The 21,911-nt window shown below is 43.3% G+C and overlaps 1 protein-coding gene across 6 annotated transcripts in view; it reads left to right on the forward strand.

Moving 5' to 3' along the window:
- Window positions 1-21,911, forward strand: part of ABHD6 (abhydrolase domain containing 6, acylglycerol lipase) — a 56,943-nt gene that overhangs the window by 28,893 nt on the left and 6,139 nt on the right. For all 6 annotated transcript variants that reach the window (XM_005265334.5, NM_001320126.2, XM_005265335.4 and 3 more), the window contains 6 exons: window positions 505-661; window positions 2,637-2,750; window positions 4,248-4,380; window positions 7,974-8,131; window positions 18,401-18,455; window positions 18,669-18,769. In XM_005265334.5, the coding sequence (XP_005265391.1) occupies window positions 505-661; window positions 2,637-2,750; window positions 4,248-4,380; window positions 7,974-8,131; window positions 18,401-18,455; window positions 18,669-18,769 (718 nt within the window). The remainder of the gene's footprint in view (window positions 1-504; window positions 662-2,636; window positions 2,751-4,247; window positions 4,381-7,973; window positions 8,132-18,400; window positions 18,456-18,668; window positions 18,770-21,911) is intronic.

The following is a 21,911-nucleotide window of genomic DNA, read 5'->3' on the forward strand; positions in this document are numbered from 1 at the left end:
CATGCAGAGAGTTCAATTTGTTTAGATGGTAATTTCATATTGAAATTGATTTTGGGCCAAAGTCCAGCACTGCCAAGTCTTATGTAACCAGCAGAAGCTGAGCTTTCAACCAGCTGCCATATGTTATGAGGAACAAAGCCAGAGGACCAGTGCAGATGGTTCTCAAGAAATAAGTTATCACTCTCAAAGTCTCTAGAAAGACATATTATCAAAAGGTTATCATGTGTGGCATACTTCTTAAGAAAACACCGCATTTCCCTTCCTAGAGTGATTAGTAAAATATATACCAAAATAGTTCATTTAAGGTGTTCTCTGGAATGGTTTGGCTTTGTGTTCCTTGAGGGTAAAGCTCAGGAGGACTCTAGAGACTGATGGAGGACAAGGGCTGGAGAAGTGTTTGTGTTATCACTAAGGAAGACTTATAGAGAGGACCTGTGCCCATCTTGAAGCCACTCATCTAGAGCTTACTGATTTCGTTTTGTCTTTATTTCTCACCCCTTCCAGGTACTGGCGGAGGACATTGGGCATGCAAGTCCGCTATGTTCACCATGAAGACTATCAGTTCTGTTATTCCTTCCGGGGCAGGCCTGGGCACAAACCCTCCATCCTCATGCTCCACGGATTCTCTGCCCACAAGGATATGTGGCTCAGTGTGGTCAAGGTGCAATTCTCGATTCTTCTCTCTTATAAGAAAAGGGAGTTGGGTGCTGTGGCTCATGCCTATAATCCCAGCACTTTGGGAGCCTGAGGCAGGAGGATTGCTTGAGTCCAGGAGTTCAAAACCAGCCTGGACAACATAAAGAAACCCTGTCTCTACAAAAAATTAAAAAATTAGCCAGGTGTGGTGGTGCATGCCTGTAGTCCTGGCTACTCAGGAGACTGAGGTGGGAAGATTGCTTGAGCCTGGGGGGTCAAGTCTTCAGTGAGCAATGATCATGCCACTGCACTTAGCCTGGGCAACAGAATAAGACTCTGTCTCAAAAAAAATAAAAATAAAAAAAGGAAGAAGAAGAAAAGGGTTTCCACTAGGACATGATGTCATCAACAATGGTAGAAAGCAAAGGGAACTCAGAACTGTGGTGGTTCAAGTCATATTAGAACTAATGCAGTGTGGCCTGGCACAGTGGCTCATACCTGTAATCCCAGCACTTTGGGGAGGCCAAGGCAGGCAGATCACTTGAGCCCAGGAGTTTGAGACCAGCCTGGGCAACATAGGGAGACTCCGTCTCTACAAAAAAATTAGCCAGGCATGGTGGCATGCACCTGTAGTCCCAGCTACTTTGGAGGCTGAGATGGGAGAATCACCTGAGCCTGGGAAGTCAAGGCTGCAGTGAACCAAGATCGTGCTATACCACACTCCAGCCTGAGCAACAGGAGTGAGACCCTGTCTCAAAACAAACAAACAAACTAATGCAATATGTTACTCATTCTTTTGTCAGAAAAAAATTATTGAGTTGAATATTATATATAAAACGTATGGCTTAGAAATCTTTTTACCTCATGGATATTTCTTTGGGGAGGCTTCTGACACAGCTGCATCTCAGAACTGCTGTGAGATCAGAGTTGGGCTTTGAAAAGTCATTTTTTTTGTACTCCCAAGTTTCTTCTCTTCCTTCCCCTCCATATTCTTCCTTCATTCCTTCTTTTCCTTTCCTTCCCACTCCCTCTTCTACGTCTGCTTTTTTCTTTTCCTTTGCCATTTAGAGAAACAGTCTTGATCTAGCAGCTTTCTGGAAGAGTTTTCCAAGTCACTTTTTGTCTTGGTTTACTTGGGTGTGGCAACTTGCTGCTCTTGGTAAGAGTGATCAGGTGTGAAGGTTGGGGCTGGCAGAAGTCTTGGGCAGGAAGCATCCCTGGCTCCCACATCAGGCAACACCATACCTGAGGGATCCCAAGTATCATCTACACCAGTAGGTGAAGACTCACACACCCTCTAGTTAGTTGTATTCTTATTTCCAAATTCCACTATGAGGACAGTCATTTTCATGCCTTGATGAACTTCCTGTCCCCTCCTCAGATAAATATCTTTCTTATAACTGGATGTTTGTTTGTTGGTAACTTATGTTTCTCAGTTTCCTGGTTAAAAGTGGTACATATCTAAATGGAAGAAGGTGTTTTAGGATAATAATAATTTGGAAAAGTAGACCTTAATGTAAAAAGAAACCAAACAAACCAGAATCGGGGTGATCAGATGTGGTTCTTGGGGAAAACATTGCTCCTGTTGGCTCTGGAGCTGGCTAGGATATGAGAGAACAGAACCATCCCTTCCAGATCCAAGTCAGCAGCTGCATGGCTGGAGTAAGTGTGGAAGGGGTGAGGGAAAGGAGGAGGCAGTACATGTCAACTAGTGTGAAGAAAAAGCAAGAGACTTAAGCCTGCTGCCCCGACTTTGTCCCCTTTTTACAGGCATCTCCTGAGCCTGCTTCCATCTATGTATTAGCCTTTGTGGGCCTCTGCTCCCGATGAGGCTACTGGCAATGCTTATTCAATTACTGGGGTAAAACACTGAGTGGCCAAGACCCATACATCCCCAGGGATGGCTGTCTGGGTCACTGTACATGGGGCAACCTCCCAAGAAAATGGGCAGACATGTTTTGCACACCACATACTGACTCTCTGGGTCTGTGTGTCCTCAGTTCCTTCCAAAGAACCTGCACTTGGTCTGCGTGGACATGCCAGGACATGAGGGCACCACCCGCTCCTCCCTGGATGACCTGTCCATAGATGGGCAAGTTAAGAGGATACACCAGGTAAGCAGGAGGCTCTACCAAAGATTGCCCAGACTGTCTCAGCCACCATTACATGTCTGAGTCTGGAGAGCAGGGAAGGGAGTCCTGTGCTACCTCATGACCAGTCTCCTGTACATTCTGTCTACAAGTGATGGCAAGCCAAATGGCAACCTGATGATATCTCTGGTTGGCAATGGAGGGCCAGGGCTTATTACAGACTTAAGCCTATTGCAGTTGTTTGTAACGAAATACAATCTGAGCATTTTCTCAACTCTTTGAAAAGGGGTTTAGAATTTCTTAAAACCAATTCCCTTCCTAGGGATCTCTCTTTCTGCTCACCAGTTATATGATAACAGTAATAGCCCCTCTGCCTAGCTGGGGAGGGTGTTCTTCACATTATAACGTACTTTAGCATCTATTGCTAGCACCTATTTTAGAATCTATCTCTAGCCTTCTCTGGCTAAGCTTTCAAGATCATAGGAGTTTAAGAGCCATTTCAGAATGGGGTAGCCTGTAAGTTTCAGGTTGACCTTAAATATTTTCCCCCAAATGAGGATATTTAATATCTGCCTCCTCCATTAAACTGTTTTTTAAATTCGGTCAGGAACCTTGTCTTTTTAGCTCTTTGCTGTGTTTTCAGCATCTAATCATAGTTTCCTGTACATAATAGATATCCAATGAATATTTTTTAGAATGCTGGATAGTTGGGTGGATGGCTGATTGGATGATTGGATGGATAGATGGATGGATGGTTGGATGGATGGATGGTTGAATAGACAAATGGATGGGTAGTTATATGAATGGATGGTCAGATGGACGAGAAGAGCTTTAAATTAGCACAGGAGCCCTCAAACTACAGCCCATGAGCTATGTTTAGCTTGTACCTATTTTTGTAAACTAAATTTTACTGGAAAACAGCCACACTCACTCATTTATTTAATACATATTACCTTTGACTGCTTTTGTCTGCAACAGCAGAGTTGAATAGTTGCAACAGATCATATGGCTCTCAAAGCAGAAAATGTTTACTCTCTGGACCTTTATAGAAAACTTCATCAGCCTGGACAATATGGTGAAACCTCATCTCTACAAAAAAAAAAAAAAAAAAAAATCAGCCAGATGTGGTGGTGCATGCCTGTAGTTCTAGCTACTCGGGAGGCTGAGATGGGAGGATCACCTGAGCCCCAGAGGTTAGCCATGATCACGCCACTGCACTGCAGCCTGGGTGACAGAGTGAGACCCTGTCTCAGAAAAAAAGAAAAGTTTGCTGACTCATTAATTAGCAGAATCCCTGTTGATTTTATATTTATAAATGACCTCTCAATCTCTTGTGCCAGACAGAGAAGTCCATGCATGCCACAGGGCTCATCTTATAATGGATCCAGTAGAGTTTCAGACTCTTTAAACAGTAGTCATTTTCAGTTGTCCATAGGAAGTCCAGGGGGCTTCTATGCTGTAGTCACCATTGCCATTGTCTACAGCTGTATAACCAAGCTGCTTTCTCATTTCCCTTCCTAGTTTGTAGAATGCCTGAAGCTGAACAAAAAACCTTTCCACCTGGTAGGCACCTCCATGGGTGGCCAGGTGGCTGGGGTGTATGCTGCTTACTACCCATCGGATGTCTCCAGCCTGTGTCTCGTGTGTCCTGCTGGTAAGTTATGAAGCTGAAACATCCCTCGGCAGGGATGAATCCCTGAAGAAACAAGTAGCTAGTGTCTGCTATGACCGTTTTTTGGAATCATCTTTTTGATGTATGCTTGAGAGATATGCAGTGTTTTACTGATAACTCTAACCAACCAATAGTTATATAATCATAATCATAACCAGACTGATTTTGAAAATATAGAGCCAGCCTTGTTACACCAAGAATTTGAGGTGGGGCCAGGCACAGTGGCTCATGCCTGTAAACATTTAAAATTTAAAAAAAAAAAAAAGGAATGTTTGAGGTGGTTGATTAAAATGTATATAGTGCTTTGCAGCACATACTTTGAAATATAATGTTACTATTAACATCCAACATTTATCGGGCTCTTACGAGCTAAGCTCTTTATATGAATTTAATTCTTGCAGTAGCCCTGTGAGGTAAAGGTACTATAATTATGCCCCTCTCCTTTTTTGGTAAAAACTGAGAGATCTTTATTTATTATAATAAGATCTTAAAAAAAATCCAGCTTTAGTTTCTCTACTGTTATATGTACATATGTCAACGTGAAGTGTAACATGTTCTCCGATATTACCGTTTGAAGTTGGATTTTTAAATTTGTTTTTCTTCTATAAGTCTTTAGAGTTGTATTTATAATATATAATAGATAAAAATCATATTTTTTCTCTCCTCTATCTCCCCCTCTCTCTGTTTTTTTTTTTTTTTTTTTTTTTTGAGACAGTCTGTTGCTCAGACTGGAGTGCAGTGGTGCAATCATGGCTCACTGCAGCCTTGACTTCCCAGGTTCAAGCAATTCTTGTGCCTCAGCCACCCAAGTAGCTGAGATTACAGGTGTGTGCCACCATGCCCAGCTAATTTTTTGCATTTTCAGTAGAGGTGGAGTTTCGCAATGTTGGCTAGGCAAACTTGAATCCTGTTGGCTAGGATCCTGTTGGCCTGAGTCCCTTGAACTCCTGGCCTCAAGTGATCTGCCCGCCTCCACCTCCCAAAGTGCTGGGAATAGGCGTGAGCCACCGCACCCGGCCTCTCTCTCCCTCTCCCTTTGGTGCTTTATTGGGGTATCATTTACACATAGTAAATTGTCTAAATTTAAATGTGCATCTCAATGACTTTTTACGTATGCAGTTACCATGCAGGTCAAGATATTATGCCCATTTTATAAATGGGAACGTTGAGGCACAGAGAAATTACATTAGTGCCAAAACCACAGTAGGAACAGAGCCCAGGCTGCCTGACTCCAGAACCCAAGCTGTGATGTTTGGAAGTCCTTGCATATTTACTGCCTCCTTTTTATGACTCATATCTTCTACTTCCTCTGTATGATTCAACTAGAATCCAGCCATGAATTGAACATTTAATGACTTTTACTGAAACTTAACTAAATTGACCTTTAAAATCCTTCTGCCACTCTGAAAGCTAATCATTTTCGATATGTTGAGGACATTGAAATCGAAGAGAAGACACCAAAGGGTCTTCTCCTCTCTTTTTTCAAGTAGCATATCTGAAATAATTTGATCTTATAATAATAAGTTTGAGAATTGAAGGAACAGCATCTATGGAAGGTTTTTAGATTTTAAATCACTTACAGGAAGTAAAATCTAACTGGCTTTTTCAAGTATAGGTTCATTTGCTCAGAGAAAAAATTGACATCCGAATTTCAACTGGAAATTTAAAATTAAGTTTGTATGTGAAAACTAAAAAGTAGAAATAAATTCAGGATTATATCCTACCAAGAGTTTTAAAATAAACTTTCTAAAAATTTTGAAATAATTTTTAATTTACAGAAAAATTGCAGAGATATTATAGAGCGCCCCATATAACCTATACTCAGTTTCCCCATTAATAGCTCACATTACCACAGTAAATTTTTTCACAACTAAGAAACCAACATTAGTATATTACTGTTAACTAAATTCCAGGCTTTATTTGGATTTCATTTAGTTTTTCAACTCATGTCCTTTTTCTGTTCTGGGATCCAGTCCAGGATGTACCACATGACATCTAACCTAGGTTTAGTTTTAAAGAGAGGGGAAATAGATAATGTCATCTGCTTCATGGCATCGTGAAAGCCATACATCATACCCATGTTAGATTTAAAGGGTTTGCTGGACATAGATTTGCAAAGCGTGGGTTTCTGCATCACGACCAATATTATTGATGCTACTGCCTTTCATTATAAAATCTAGCTCTTTTCTAGATTTTGCTGGGTGAGGTAGCTCACACCTGTAATCCCAACACTTTGGGAGGCTAAGAGAGGAGGATTGCTTGAGGCCAGGAGTTCAAGACCAGCCTAAGGGAGACCCCATCTCTGCAAAAATATAAAATTAAAAAAAAATCTAACATTCACACATATGTTTATTGCAGCACTATTTACGATAGCAAAGACTTGGAACTAACCCAAATGCCCACCAATGATAAACTGGATAAAGAAAATGTGGCACATATACACCATGGAATACTATGCAGCCATAAAAAAGAATGATTTCATGTCCTTTGCAAGGACATGGATGAAGCTGGAAGCATCATTCTCAGCAAACTAACACAGGAACAGAAAACCAAACACCGCATGTTCTCACTCATAAGTGCGAGTTGAACAGTGAGAAGACATGGACACAGAAAGGGGAACATCACACACTGGGGCCTGTCAGAGGGTGGAGGTCACAGGGAGGGAGAGCATTAGGACAAATGCCGAATGCATGAGGGACTTAAAACCTAGATGACGGGTTGATAGGTGCAGCAAACCACCGTGGCACATGTATACCTATGTAACAAACCTGCACGTTCTGCCCATGTATCCCAGAACTTAAAGTAAAAAAAGAAAAAAAAATCTAATTATTTGGCTAAGCTAAATGCCTAGAAATTTGCTCCATGCTGGAAGTGAAAATTAGTTTTGCCCTCTTGCATACATAGCATCAGCTTCTGTGGACTCTCGTGTCGTGCCCTGAGGTGATGGGAGATAATGAGCAATCTCAATTTTGCTCTCCTAGAGGAAGAGCAACTGTGGAGAAGGCAGCAGGGTTGCTGCCCTAAAGCAAGGGACAGCTGGGAAGACTCCCAGTCCCCCTGTGTTTTATCATTGACCCCAAATAAGAGAGTACCACGTGGGTCCAGGCCAAGGGAAGGAGTGTCATTCATGCCAGCCCTATGTTTTCTTCCGGTCATGTATTTCCTCACATTTCCTGTCAACACTCAGATATGCTTAGGCAAGTTGTCTTCTAGGCTAACCCTCCTTAAATTCTATCATACATATGAATCCCCTGGCAACTTGTAAGAAGGCAAATTCTGGTTCAAGAGGCTCAGGGAGGAGCAGCGTCTGCATTTCTTGTGGGCTTTTGATGCTCCTGGTCCATGGACTACAGTGTGAGTGACCAGTCCCTGAAATATGTGGAAGGATTTTTTTGTGTGTTTCTCAGTGTGGTTTTGATTTGAGCAAGGATGGCAGTACCAACAAAAAAGAAATCTACTCATGAAATAAACCTGAAATATATTAACTCTGGGCTGCTGTCAGAAGTTCCCTATATAAAATGGGATTGGTAAGAAGGTGGATGTATCATCAAGCCATTTGGGTTTGAATCCCACAGGCCTGCAGTACTCAACTGACAATCAATTTGTACAACGGCTCAAAGAACTGCAGGGCTCTGCCGCCGTGGAGAAGATTCCCTTGATCCCGTCTACCCCAGAAGAGATGAGTGAAATGCTTCAGCTCTGCTCCTATGTCCGCTTCAAGGTGCCCCAGCAGGTAACGTGGTTGCAGCAGCGACACAACTACCCTCCCCAGAGGCCCGGGGGCGAGTACCAGCTTCCTGCACGTATTCCCTCCTTCACCTACTCATTGACTACTTCTTGTCCTCTTCTGCATATATTCAGCAAGTGTCTCTGCAGTGCCTGCAACACGCTGGGCACTGTGCTGGTACAGTGATCAATAAAGACAAGAAGGTCCCTGGGCAGACACAGTCCAGTGGGGGAGGCAGACAATAACAAGTAAACAATGAACTACCAGTGGTCATGAGTTTTATAGCAGAAATGAAGATGGTGTAGTGATTGAATACGGGGAGGCAGGGGTGGCTTTGATAAGCCTCTTCTAGGGACAGCATATGCAGAGGTGGAAAAACATACATATTCAAGACAAAGGAAGCCAGGGTAGCTGGAGCCCCAAGAATAAGAGAATGGTGAAGATGGAGTTAGAAAGGGAGGCAGGGGCTAAATCAGAGATACTCAATTGAAAAAAAAAAAATCTCAGGACCCCTTATACTCTTTTTTTTTTTTTTTTCCAGACAGAGTCTCACTCTGTCACCTAGGCTGGAGTGCAGTAGCATGATCTCGGCTCACTGCAACCTCTGCCTCCCAGGTTCAAGCGATTCTTCTGCCTCAGCCTCCTGAGTAGCTGGGATTATAGGTGTGCGCCACCACGCCTGGCTAATTTTTCATTTTTAGTAGAGATGGGGTTTCACCATGTTGGTCAGGCTGGTCTCGAACTCCTGACCCCGTGATCCGTCCACCTCAGCCTCCCAAAGTGCTGGGATTACAGGCTTGAGCCACCTCACCTGGCTAGGACCCCTTATCCTCTTTTTTATTTTTTAAATATACTTTAAGTTCTAGGGTGCATGTGCACAGATTGCAGGTTTCATACATAAGTATGCATGTGCCATGTTGGTTTGCTGCACCCATCAACTCACCATTCACGTTAGGTATTTCTCCTAATGCTATCCTTCCCCCAGCCCCCTACCCCCTGCCTGGTGTCCAAGTGTTCTAATTGTTCAGTTCCCACCTATGAGTGAGAACATGTGGTGTTTGGTTTTCTTTCCTTGTGATAGTTTGCTGAGAATGATGGTTTCCAGCTTCATCCATGTCCCTGTAAAGGACATGAACTCATCCTTTTTATGGCTGCGTAGTATTCCATGGTCTGTATGTGTCACATTTTCTTAATCCAGTCTACCATTGATAGACATTTGGGTTGGTTCCAAGTCTTTGCTGCTGTGAATAGTGCTGCAATAAACATACGTGTACATGTGTCTTTATAGTAGCATGATTTATAATTCTTAGGGTATATACCTAGTAATGGGATTGCTGGGTCAAATGGTATTTCTAGTTCTAGATCCTTGAGGAATCGCCACACTGTCTTCCACAATGGTTGAACTACTTTACACTCCCACCAACAGTGTAAAAGCGTTCCTATTTCTCCACATCCTCTCCAGCATCTGTTGTTTCCTGACTTTTTAATGATTGCCATTCTAACTGGTGTGAGATGGTATCTTATTGTGGTTTTGATTTGCATTTCTCTGATGACCAGTGATGATGAGCAGTTTTTCATGTGTCTGTTGGCTGCATAGATGTCTTCTTTTGAGAAGTGTCTGTTCATATCCTTTGCCCACTTTTTGATGGGGTTGTTTTTTTTTCTGATAAATTTGTTTGAGTTCTTTGTGGATTCTGGATATTAGCCCTTTGTCAGATGGGTAGATTGCAAAAATTTTCTCCCATTCTGTAGGTTGCCTGTTCACTCTGATGGCAGTTTCTTTTGCTGTGCAGAAGCTCTTTAGTTTAATTAGATCCCATTCGTCTATTTTGGCTTTTGTTGCCATTGCTTTTGGTGTTTTAGTCATGAAGTCCTTGCCCATGCCTGTTTCCTGTATGGTATTGCCTAGGTTTTCTTCTAGGGTTTTTATGGTTTTAGGTCTAACATTTAAGTCTTTAATCCATCTTGAATTAATTTTTGTATAAGGTGTAAGGAAAGGATCCAGTTTCAGCTTTCTACATATGGCTAGCCAGTTTTCCCAGCACCATTTGTTAAATAGGGAATCCTTTCCCATTTCTTGTTTTTGTCAGGTTTGTCAAAGATCAGATGGTTATAGATGTGTGGTGTTATTTCTGAGGCCTCTGTTCTGTTCCATTTGTCTATATATCTGTTTTTGTACCAGTACCATGCTGTTTTGATTACTGTAGCCTTGTAGTATAGTTTGAAGTCAGGTAGCTTGGTGCTTCCAGCTTTGTTCTTTTTGCTTAGAATTGTCTTGGCAATGCAGGCTCTTTTTTGGTTCCATATGAACTTTAAAGTAGTTTTTTTCCAATTCTGTGAAGAAAGTCATTGGTAGCTTGATGGGGATGGCATTGAATCTGTAAATTACCTTGGGCGGTATGGCCATTTTCATGATATTGACTCTTACTATCCATGAGCATGGAATGTTGTTCCATTTGTTAGCGTCCTCTTTTATTTCGTTGAGCAGTGGTTTGTAGTTCTCCTTGAAGAGGTCCTTCACATCCCTTGTAAGTTGGATTCCTAGGTATTTTATTCTCTTTGTAGCAATTGTGAATGGGAGTTCACTCATGATCTGGCTCTCTGTTTGTTATTGTTGTATAGGAATGCTTGTGATTTTTGCACATTGATTTTGTATCCTGAGACTTTGCTGAAGTTGCTTATCAGCTTAAGGAGATTCGGGGCTGAGACGATGGGATTTTCTAAATATACAATCATGTCATCTGTAAATGGACAATTTGACTTCCTCTTTTCCTAACTGAATATCCTTTATTTATTTCTCTTGCCTGATTGCACTGGGCAGAACTTCCAACACTATATTGAATAGGAGTGGTGAGAGAGGGCATCCTTGTCTTGTTCCAGTTTTCAAAGGGAATGCTTCCAGTTTTTGCCCATTCAGTATGATATTGGCTGTGGGTTTGTCATAAATAGCTCTTATTATTTTGAGATATATTCCATGAATACCTAGTTTATTGAGAGTTTTTAGCATGAAGGGGTGTTGAATTTTGTCAAAGGCCTTTTCTGCAACTATTGAGATAATCATGTGGTGTTTGTCATTCGTTCTATTTATGTGATGGATTACATTTATTGATTTGTGTATGTTGAACCAGCCTTACATCTCAGGGATGAAGCCGACTTGATCGTGGTGGATAAACTTTCTGCTGCTGGATTCGGTTTGCCAGTATTTTATTGAGGATTTTCACATCGATGTTCATCTGGAATATTGGTCTAAAATTCTCTTTTTTTGTTGTGTCTCTGCCAGGCTTTGGCATCAGGATGATGCAGGCCTCATAAAATGAGTTAGGGAGGATTCCCTCTTTATTGATTGGAATCGTTTCCAAAGGAATGGTACCAGCTCCTCTTTGTACCTCTGGTAGAATTCGCCTGTAAATCTGTCTGGTCCTGGACTTTTTTTGGTTGGTAAGCCATTAATTATTGCCTCAATTTCAGAGCCTGTTATTAGTCTATTCAGAGATTCAACTTCTTCCTGGTTTAGTCTTGGGAGGGTGTATGTGTCCAGGATTTATCCATTTCTTCTAGATTTTCTAGTTAATTTGCGTAGAGGTGTTTATAGTATTCTCTGATGGTAGTTTGTATTTCTGTGGGATTGGTGGTGATATCCCCTTTATCATTTTTTATTGTGTCTATTTGATTCTTCTCTCTTTTCTTCTTTATTAGTCTTGCCAGTGGTCTGTCAATTTTGTTGATCTTTTCAAAAAACCAGCTCCTGGATTCGTTGATTTTTTGAAGGGTTTTTTGTGTCTCTATCTCTTTCAGTTCTGTTCTGATCTTAGTTATTTCTTGCCTTCTGCTGGCTTTTGAATGTGTTTGCCCTTGCTTCTCTAGTTCTTTTAATTGTGATGTTAGGGTGTCAATTTTAGATCTTTCTTGCTTTCTCTTGTGGGCATTTAGTGCTATAAATTTCCCTCTACACACTGCTTTAAATGTGTCCCAGAGATCCTGGTACATTGTATCTTTGTTCTCATTGGTTTCAAAGAACATCTTTATTTCTGCCTTCATTTCGATATTTACCCAGTAGTCATTAAGGAACAGGTTGTTCAGTTTCCATGTAGTTGTGCAATTTTGAGTGAGTTTCTTAATCCTGAGCTCTAATTTGATCGCACTGTGGTCTGAGAGACAGTTTGTTGTGATTTCTGTTCTTTTACATTTGCTGAGGAGTGCTTTACTTCCAATTATGTGGTCAATTTTAGAATAAGTGTGATGTGGTGCTAAGAAGAATGTATATTCTGTTGATTTGGGGTGGAGAGTTATGTAGATGTCTATTAGGTCTGCTTGGTGCAGAGCTGAGTTCAAGTCCTGGATATCCTTGTTAACCTTCTGTCTCATTGATCTGTCTAGTATTGACAGTGGGGTGTTAAAGTCTCCCATTATTATTGTGTGGGAGTCTAAGTCTCTTTGTAGGTCTCTAAGAGCTTGCTTTATGAATCTGGGTGCTCCTGTATTGGGTGCATATATATTTAGGATAGTTAGCTCTTGTTGAATTGATCCCTTTACCATTATGTAATGGCCTTCTTTGTCTCTTTTGATCTTTGTTGGTTTAAAGTCTGTTTTATCAGAGACTAGGATTGCAACCCTGCTTTTTTTTTGCTTTCCGTTTGCTTAGTAGATCTTCCCCCATCCCTTTATTTTGAGCCTATGTGTGTCTCTGCATGTGAGATGGGTCTCCTGAATATAGCACACTGATGGGTCTTGTCCAATTTGCCAGTCTGTGTCTTTTAATTGGGGCATTTAGCCCATTTACATTTAAGGTTAATATTGTTATGTGTGAATTTGATCCTGTCATTATGATGTTAGCTGGTTATTTTGCCCATTATTGATGCAGTTTCTTCATAGTGTCAATGATCTTTACAATTTGGCATGTTTTTGCAGTGGCTCATACCGGTTGTTCCTTTCCATGTTTAGTGCTTCCTTCAGGAGCTCTTGTAAGACAGGCCTGGTGGTGACAGAATCTCTCAGCGTTTGCTTGTCTGTAAAGGATTTTATTTCTCCCTCACTTATGAAGCTTAGTTTGGCTGGATATGAAATTCTGGGTTGAAAATTCTTTTCTTTAAGAATGTTGAATATTAGCCCGCAGTCTCTTCTGGCTTGTAGGGTTTCTGCCAAGAGATCCGCTGTTAGTCTGATGGGCTTCCCTTTGTGGGTACCTGACCTTTCTCTCTGGCTGCCCTTAACACTTTTTCCTTCATTTCAACCTTGCTGAATCTGACAATTATGTGTCTTGGGGTTGCTATTCTCGAGTAGTATCTTTATGGTGTTCTGTGTATTTCCTGAATTTGAATGTTGGCCTGCCTTGCTAGGTTGGGGAAGTTCTCCTGGATAATATCCTGAAGAGTGTTTTCCAACTTGGTTCCATTCTTCCCATCATTTCCAGGTACATCAGTCAAACATAGATTTGGTATTTTCACATAGTCCCGTATTTCTTGGAAGCTTTTTTTGTTTCTTTTTACTTTTTTTTCTCTAACCTTGTCTTCTCACTTTATTTTATTAATTTTATCTTCAATCACGGATACCCTTTCTTTCACTTCATCAAATTGGCTATTGAAGCTTGTGCATGCATCATGAAGTTCTCGTGCCATGGTTTTCAGCTCCATCGGGTCATTTAAGGTCTTCTCTACACTGTTTATTCTAGTTAGCCATTTGTCTAACCTTTTTTCAAGGTTTTTAGCTTCCTTATAATGGGTTCAAACATGCTCCTTTAGCACGGAGAAGTTTGTTATTACTGACCTTCTGAAGCCTACTTCTGTCAGCTCAGCAAAGTCATTTTCCATCCAGCTTTGTTCCGTTGCTGGCGAGGAGCTGCAATCATTTGGAGGAGAAGAGGCGCTCTGGTTTTTAGAATTTTCAGCTTTTCTGCTCTGGTTTCTCCCCATCTTTGTGGTTGTATCTACCTTTGGTCTTTTATGTTGGTGACCTACAGATGGGATTTTGGTGTAGATGTCCTTTTTGTTAATGTTGATGCTATTCCTTTCTGTTTGTTAGTTTTCCTTATAACAATCAGGTCCCTCAGCTGCAGGTCTGTTGGAGTTTGCTGGAGGTCCGCTCCAGACCCTGTTTGCCTGGGTATCACCAGCGGAGTCTGCAGAACAGCAAATATTGCTGCCTGATCCTTCCTCTGGAAGCTTTGTCTCAGAGGGGCACCCGGCCGTATGAGGTGTCAATCAGCCCCTACTGGGAGGTGTCTCCCAGTTAGGCTACACGAGGGTCAGGGACCCACTTGAGGAGGCAGTCTGTCTGTCTCAGAGCTCAAATGCTGTGCTGGGAGAACAACTGCTCTCTTCAGCGCTGTCAGACAGGGACATTTAAGTCTGCAGAAATTGCCTGCTGCCTTTTGTTCAGCTAAGCCCTGCCCACACAGGTGGAGTCTAGAGGCTGCTGGCCTTGCTGAGCTGTGGTGGGCTTTGCCGAGTTCGAGCTTCCAGGCCACTTTGTTTACCTACTTAAGCCTCAGCAATGGCAGACGCCCCTCCCCCAGCCAGGCTGCCGCCTTGCAGTTCAATCTCAGACTGCTGTGCTAGCAGGGAGCAAGGCTCTGTGGGCCTGGGACCCACCGAGCCAGGCACGGGAGAGAATCTTCTTGTCTGCCAGTTGCTAAGACCTTGGGAAAAGTGCAGTATTTGGGCAGGAGTGTCCCAGTTTTCCAGGTACAGTCTGTCATGGCTTCCCTGGCTAGGAAAGGGAAATCCCCCGACCCCTTGCACTTCCCAGGTGAGGCGATGCCTGCCCTGCTTCAGCTCGCCCTCTGTGGGCTGCACCCACTGTCCAACCAGTCCCAGTGAGATGAACCAGGTACGTTAATTGGAAATGCAGAAATCACCCGCCTTCTGCGTTGATCACGCTGGATGCCGCAGACCGGAGCTGTTCCTATTCGGCCATCTTGGAACCTATCCTCGTTATACTCTTAAAAATTGTTGAGGAACCCAAAGGGTTTTTATTTATAGGGGTTATATTTATTATTAATGTTTACCATATTAGAAATTAAAACTCAGGCCGGGTGCGGTGGTTCATGCCTGTAATCCTAGCACTTTGGGAGGCCAAGATGGGAGGATTGCTTGAGACTAGGAGTTCAAGACCAGCCTGGTCAACGTAGCGAGACCCCATCTCTATTTAAATACAAATAAAAGAAAATAAATGAAAACTCAGAAGATTCCAAAATGCAATGAATGTACAAGCACTTATTCCAGTAGCCAAGAGCAAGGACATCATCCCACATTTTATAGGCTCTGAAAAACAGTGTACTTTTGAGAGAATGTAAGTGAAGAGGCAAGTAACATTGAGTATTAGGAAAGTAGTTTGACCTCCTAGACTCCCAAGAACCACTTTGAAAAATGCTGGACTAGATCCTGTAGGACCTTATAGGTACGGAAAGGAGCCAGGAGTTTTTCTAAGTATAATAGGACCACTGAGAGATTGTAGGAGAGCACAAATGGAACAGAGGAACCCATTTGGGAACTATTGTGCCTTGGAGATGATGGTGGTGTAGACTAGGATGGTAGCAATGGAGATGAGATTTGAGAAAGAATGGACAGGATGTACAGGCAAATTGGAAATGGGGGCTGGGGAAAGGGGAGGAGTCCCAGGTGACTTCCAGCACTTGAGGTCCTGGCTGGGCATGGTGGCTTGCACCTGTATTCCCAGCACTTTGGGAGGCCAAGGCGGGTGGATTGTGTAAATGCAGGAGTTCGAGACCAGCCTGGGCAACGTGGTGAAGCCCCATCTCTACAAAAAAAAATTTTTTTAATTAGCCAAGTGTGGTGGTGCGTGCCTGTAGATCCAGCTACTCGGGAGGCTGAGGTGAGAGGATCACCTGAGCCCAGGAGGCAGAGGCTGCAGTGAGCCAAGATCATGCCACTGCACTCCATCCTGGGCAACAGAGTGAGACCCTGTCTCAAAAAAACAACAACAAAAACAAAAACAGAGGTAGTATATTCTGAAGAGTAGAAGGGCAGGCTTGGGGAATATGCCAAGGACTCCATTTTTCATGTGTTAAGTTCAGGTTGCCTGTGAGGCCTCCAAGTGCAGAGGTCAAGGTGTAGCTGAGGGAAGTCTGGCCTGAAGCTGTACCACTGGAGCCATCAGCAGACGCTAATATTGAAGGTTATGGGACTGAATGAAGTCATCTAGGGAAATGGTGTGAAGAACCAAGAGAGGAGAGTCCATGGCTGAGGCTTCATAACCCCAAATTATCTCCCTCTGTTGTAGGAGCTGGACCCTGCCTGGAGGTGGGCAGGTCCTCCTAAGACTTGAGGGAATAGATCCCATTCAGAAGTTGTGAACATGGCTCAGTTAATAGATACGGCCTGTCCCTCAGGAAACACCCAGAATCTGATGCTGTGGCATGTTCCACCCCTGAAATCCCTTTTTAGCCATGAAGTAGCATTCCTTTCTCCCAGCACTGATCTCTTCCCAGAATAGAGTGGCCAAATGATGTTTTAGAAAACTCCATGTTTTGGGTTGTCAGGGATATGAAAACACCAAGAGAAAAATAAATGGCAGCTCCAAAAGTCTTTCCTTCCTAGGAGAGAAGGAGCACCTGCACACTCAGCCCACCATGTCATATTGTGTTGTGATTGCACGTCTGTGTCTTCCACTAGGGACTTTGTCTTAATTGGCTGTTCTATCCCCAGACTTTAGCACAGTGCTTGCATGAAGTAGGTCCTAGGTATAGATTGGATGGATTGATGGATGAGAGGATGCCTGGATAATGCAGGGATGGACAATGGATGGGTGGGTAGATGCAGGATAGATTTTTGCATGAATTGATTGATGTGCCAGTGCACAGATGATTTAGGTCTGCAGGATGGATAGATGGCTGAATGGTTGGATGGATGGATGGATGGGAGGATATCTGGTTAATGCAGAGATGGAGGTTGGATGGATTGATGAATACAGGATAGATAGGTAGACAAATGCATATGTGGTTCAGGATGGATGGCTGCATTGAGCAGAGGTGGAGGATGGATGGACACAAGATGAATAGATATGTGGGTACAGGTGGATAGCTGAACAAAGAAAATCTCTGATGCTGAGCACAATGTTGTTATTCAACAAATTGTCATTGTCCTCATGTCCAGGCTGAATGAGTTAGAGTCTAGTGATGCTCCAGAGGGTTGGTTTAGTCCATAGCAGCCATGGCTGGTTCTTCCCCACTTTCAGTCAGTGCACAGGACTCCTGAGAGAGTGTAATTAAAGGGTTCAGACCTGTTTGCAGGTAGAGGAGAGGAGTAGAGGAGTACAGCCACTAATGTGAACCCTGTACTCTACCTCAGGAGTCCTGAGGCAGGAGGAAGAGAAGAACTGTGTTCCTTCCAGCCACCACTACCTCTTTGGGTCAGTAGCCCAGGTCCAGAAGATGTGGCCTGTCCACATTGGCTGCAGCCCTCACCAGCCCTCAGCAGGGAAGGCAAAGACAGTGTCAAATGATAAACAAAGGGCTGTTGAACCCTCCCAGTGGGACTGTGGAACCCTCCCCAGAATCTTTTCAATAGTTTATTTCTTTGTTGTTTAATAGACCTATCATCCCCCAGTGGCTTAATTTTTTTAATGGAACTTGTTCTGCGTTTGGATATTACTGGCGAATTACTTGATATTATGGTCATCCTCATTATGTCTTTTTTTTTTTTTTGAGATAGAGTCTCACTGTCGCCCAGGTTGGAGTGCAGTGGCGCAATCTCAGCTCACTGCAACCTCCGCCTCCTGGGTTCAAGTGATTCTCCTGCCTCAGCCTCCCGAGTAGATGGGATTACAGGCCTGCACCATCACATCCTGCTAGTTTTTGTCTTTTTAGTAGAGATGGGGGTTTCACCATTTGGCCAGGCTGGTCTTGAACTCCTGGCCTCAAGTGATCTGCCCGCCTTGGCCTCCTGAAGTGCTGGGATTACAGGCATGAGCCACCATGCCCGGCCCATCCTGATTATGTCTTAAGTGAAGCAGAGAATCTCTCAAGCTAAAGTTGCTGTCAGGCCATCTCAGGTGTATTTAACATGCTGTAGGGCACCTCCAGTTTCACGATATTACCCAAGTTCCTTTATAATAATAATAATAATAAAAAGCTTCTTAGAAGCCTAACTCCCCATTAGACTGTGTGCTGCATCATGGGAATTCAGAGGACCAGGCTCTAAAGACCTTGACAGTGCAATAAATTGCTGGACCTCATTCCCATTCATTGTCCCAGAGCTGTGAGAGGCCTGAGGAAATGAATCTTCTCTTGCTCTCTAACTTTGGGTTATTTATCCTTAGATCCTGCAAGGCCTTGTCGATGTCCGCATCCCTCATAACAACTTCTACCGAAAGTGTAAGTAGCCCTACTTTCAGCTTGGAGCTTGTTACAAGTGAAGCTCTGTGGATGGATGGCTTTTATTTCTTAAATCTCTGACACTTTGAATGTCTCTTTGGGCCCCTGAAGAGAGGAAGTGGTGGCCTGGATCTGGTGACTATCCCTTGATTCTGCGGTGGTGCCACAGGCACAGTCCAGCACATACTCACTTTGTTTTCCTTTTCTGACAAGTGTTTTTGGAAATCGTCAGTGAGAAGTCCAGATACTCTCTCCATCAGAACATGGACAAGATCAAGGTTCCGACGCAGATCATCTGGGGGAAACAAGACCAGGTATGTAACACATCCCCGCGGCAGTCTGTGCTGGTCACCAGGGCCTCTGAGGAAAAACGTCCTTGAGGAAGAACAAGTGGTTATTTATGGAGTGAGCTGATCGCTGCTGTCAGGAAGAGGGGGAAGGCACCTGTGTTGGGTGCCAGTGTTGACAGTGGGCAGAGTTCTGGGAGTGGAGAGAAACAACATTTGGTCTGGTAAAAGGAAAGACAATTTTAAATCATTTTCAAAAATTGTTTTTATCAAAGCCATGTAGTCACATGGTATAAAAAGATCTTCAAAGAACACCAAAAGGTTTATAATGAAAACTTTTCTTTTTCGCATCCCAAATTCCATTCTCCATTACCATGAGGCAACTCTTATCTTACTATCTTGAATATATTTCTTTTCTTTTTTTCGTTTGAGACGGAGTCTTGCTCTGTCACCCAGGCTGGAGTGCAGTGGCCCAATCTTGGCTCACTGCAACTTCTGCCTCCCAGGTTCAAGCGATTCTCCTGCCTCAGCCTCCCAAGTAGCTGGGATTACAGGTGCCCTCCACCATGCTCACCTAATTTTTGTTTTTTGTTCTTTTGTTTTTTTTTTTTTAGACGAAGTCTTGCTCTGTTACCCAGGCTGGAGTGCAGTGGCACAATCTCGGCTCACTGCAAGCTCTGCCTCCTGGGTTCACGCCATTCTCCTGCCTCAGCCTCTCAAGTAGCTGGGACTACAGGCACCCGCCACCATGCCCAGCTAATTTTTTGTATTTTTAGTAGAGACGGGGTTTCACCATGTTAGCCAGGATGGTCTCGATCTCCTGACGTCATGATCTGCCGGCCTCAGCCTCCCAAAGTGTTGGGATTACAGGCGTGAGCCACCACACCTGGCAATTTTTGTATTTTTTTTAGTAGAGACGGGGTTTCACCATTTTGGCCAGGCTGGTCTTGAGCTCCTGACTTCAAGCAGTCCACCTTCCTTAGCCTCCCAAAGTGCTGGGATTACAAGCATGAGCCAACATGCTTGGCCTAAATTTTTTAAGCCAGAAGTTAGCAAATGTTTTCTGTAAAGGGCCAGATGGTAAACATTTTCAGCCTTGTGGTCCAGTCTCTGTCACACCTGGACACAGTTGAGTAACTGTGACCTTATAGTATAAAAGCAGCCATAGGCAATATGTAAACAAATGGCATGGCTTTTTCCAGTGAACCTTTATTTATAAAAACGGGCAGTGAGCCATTGTTTGCCTACTCCTATTCTAAGCACACGTATAGTGTATATATATGCATACCTATACATATCTGAGCTTTCAAACATGCTAGATACACTGGCATCTAAGATGCATGTTTGAAAGCTTAGATATATATAGGTGTGCATATAAGATATATAAGATCATATATGTGTGTGTGTGTGTGTGTGTGTGTGTGTGTATATATATATATATATGTATATGTATATATAAGTAGGTATCTTGGAAATCATTTTATATCAGCCCAAACAAATCTATTCCTTCTATTCTTAAAAAAATTTTATCTTGAAATAATTTCAAACTTACAGAAAATTTGAAAGAAGGCCAGGCATGGTGGCTTACGCCTATAATGCCAGCACTTTGGGAGGCTAAGGCAGGAGGATTGCTTGAGCCCAGGAGTTTGAGACCAACCTGGGCAGCATAGTGAGATCCCATCTCTATAAAAAATAAATTTTTAAAAAAGTAGCCAAGCATGGTGGTATGCATCTGTAGTCCCAGCTACTCTGGAGGGTGAGGCAGGAGGATCACTTGAGTCCAGGACATGGAGGTGGCAGTGAGCCGTGATTGCTTCACTGCACACCAGCCTGGGCCACAGGGCGGGATCCTATCTCAAAAAAATAAAAATAAAAAAGAATACAGAGTATACCTGCATACCCTTTACCTAAATGCATCAATTTTTAACTGGCAGGAGGTCACACTGTGGCCACAAAGACCCACAAGTGCATGAATGACCCAGGCAGGAGAGAGTGGGGAGGAGCAGCCAGGCTGTGCCCATGGCGTGTACGCAGAATAAGAGGCAATGGTGTCTTAGATGAGCCAGGCATGGTGAGGATTCACAGCATGGTTTTGTGGACGTGGAGAGAAGGGGATCTCATGTGCTCTCTTCTGCAGCGCCAAGGGACTGAAAGAAGCTTTGTTTGTGCCCTGGGCTATGCCAGCAGAGAGTCATTTGATCAGGAATCAGAGCCTGAGCAGCGAAGGCCTTCTGTTGTTCTAAAAACCCCAAAGGTGATTTGGGGCTCTCAGGAGCCAACAGGGAGAGGCTGTAACCCATCTTCCTGTGGAGACAGCGCAGAAGCAAGGGCACTGGCCTTGGATTCTGAAAGTCTATGTTCCAGCCCTACTTTTGTCCTTGGTCAGCCCATGCATGACCTTGAGCAAGTAACTCAGCCCCTCTAAATTAAGGGTTTCTGAAACTTCTAGTACCAGGGTTATTTTGAGGCTCAAATGAAATAATATGTATGAAAATGATCTTCCAGTTGCAAAAAAGTTAGGTTAGCTGGTATTAGATTAGACTGCTCATGTCCTTTGCCTCTGTTGGTGGCTTCAATGCATGGTCCAAATTTTTTTCCCAGACTCAGAAGTCCGTTTCATTCCAGAAAAAGAGCCTAACATTCTATGGGCTTGCTATAAATGTGATCAGATCCTTCATGTGTTTTGTGGACTGTCCCTGGGACAGAGGCCAAATAGCAGAGGCTTCAGGGAGTCTTTTATTTCACAGCCTTTTGCCTCCCAAGCTCGCTGGCTCTTTTCCTGCTCTGTCATCAACATTTGGTGTCACAGCACCTGCCCCTACCAGGCCAAATTCAGCTTCCTTCTTCTTTGGACCCCTGTAGGCTGACTGCTATACTGCACAGCTGCAGGGGGAGCCATGTGCATTGTCATTTTTGTGAATGATGGATTTGGTCTGTATACAACCTGTACACCCAAACATGGCAGCCCTTCCTGAGAGGGTTTCTGCATGCTTCATTTCAAGCATCGCTCCTCTATGTTCAGTCCATCAAAATGGGAGGGCCATCTAGAGACAGACAGGCTATTATTCTTTATGTCCCTTCTCCCTGCCAGCACCGTGCCTGGTATGCAGGAGACCCAGAGTACACAGTGAGTGAGCAAACAAGTGAGAAATTGAGTGAACAAACCAAC

This window comes from Homo sapiens, chromosome 3 (assembly GCF_000001405.40).
Source record: "Homo sapiens chromosome 3, GRCh38.p14 Primary Assembly".
Lineage (NCBI taxonomy): Eukaryota > Metazoa > Chordata > Mammalia > Primates > Hominidae > Homo > Homo sapiens.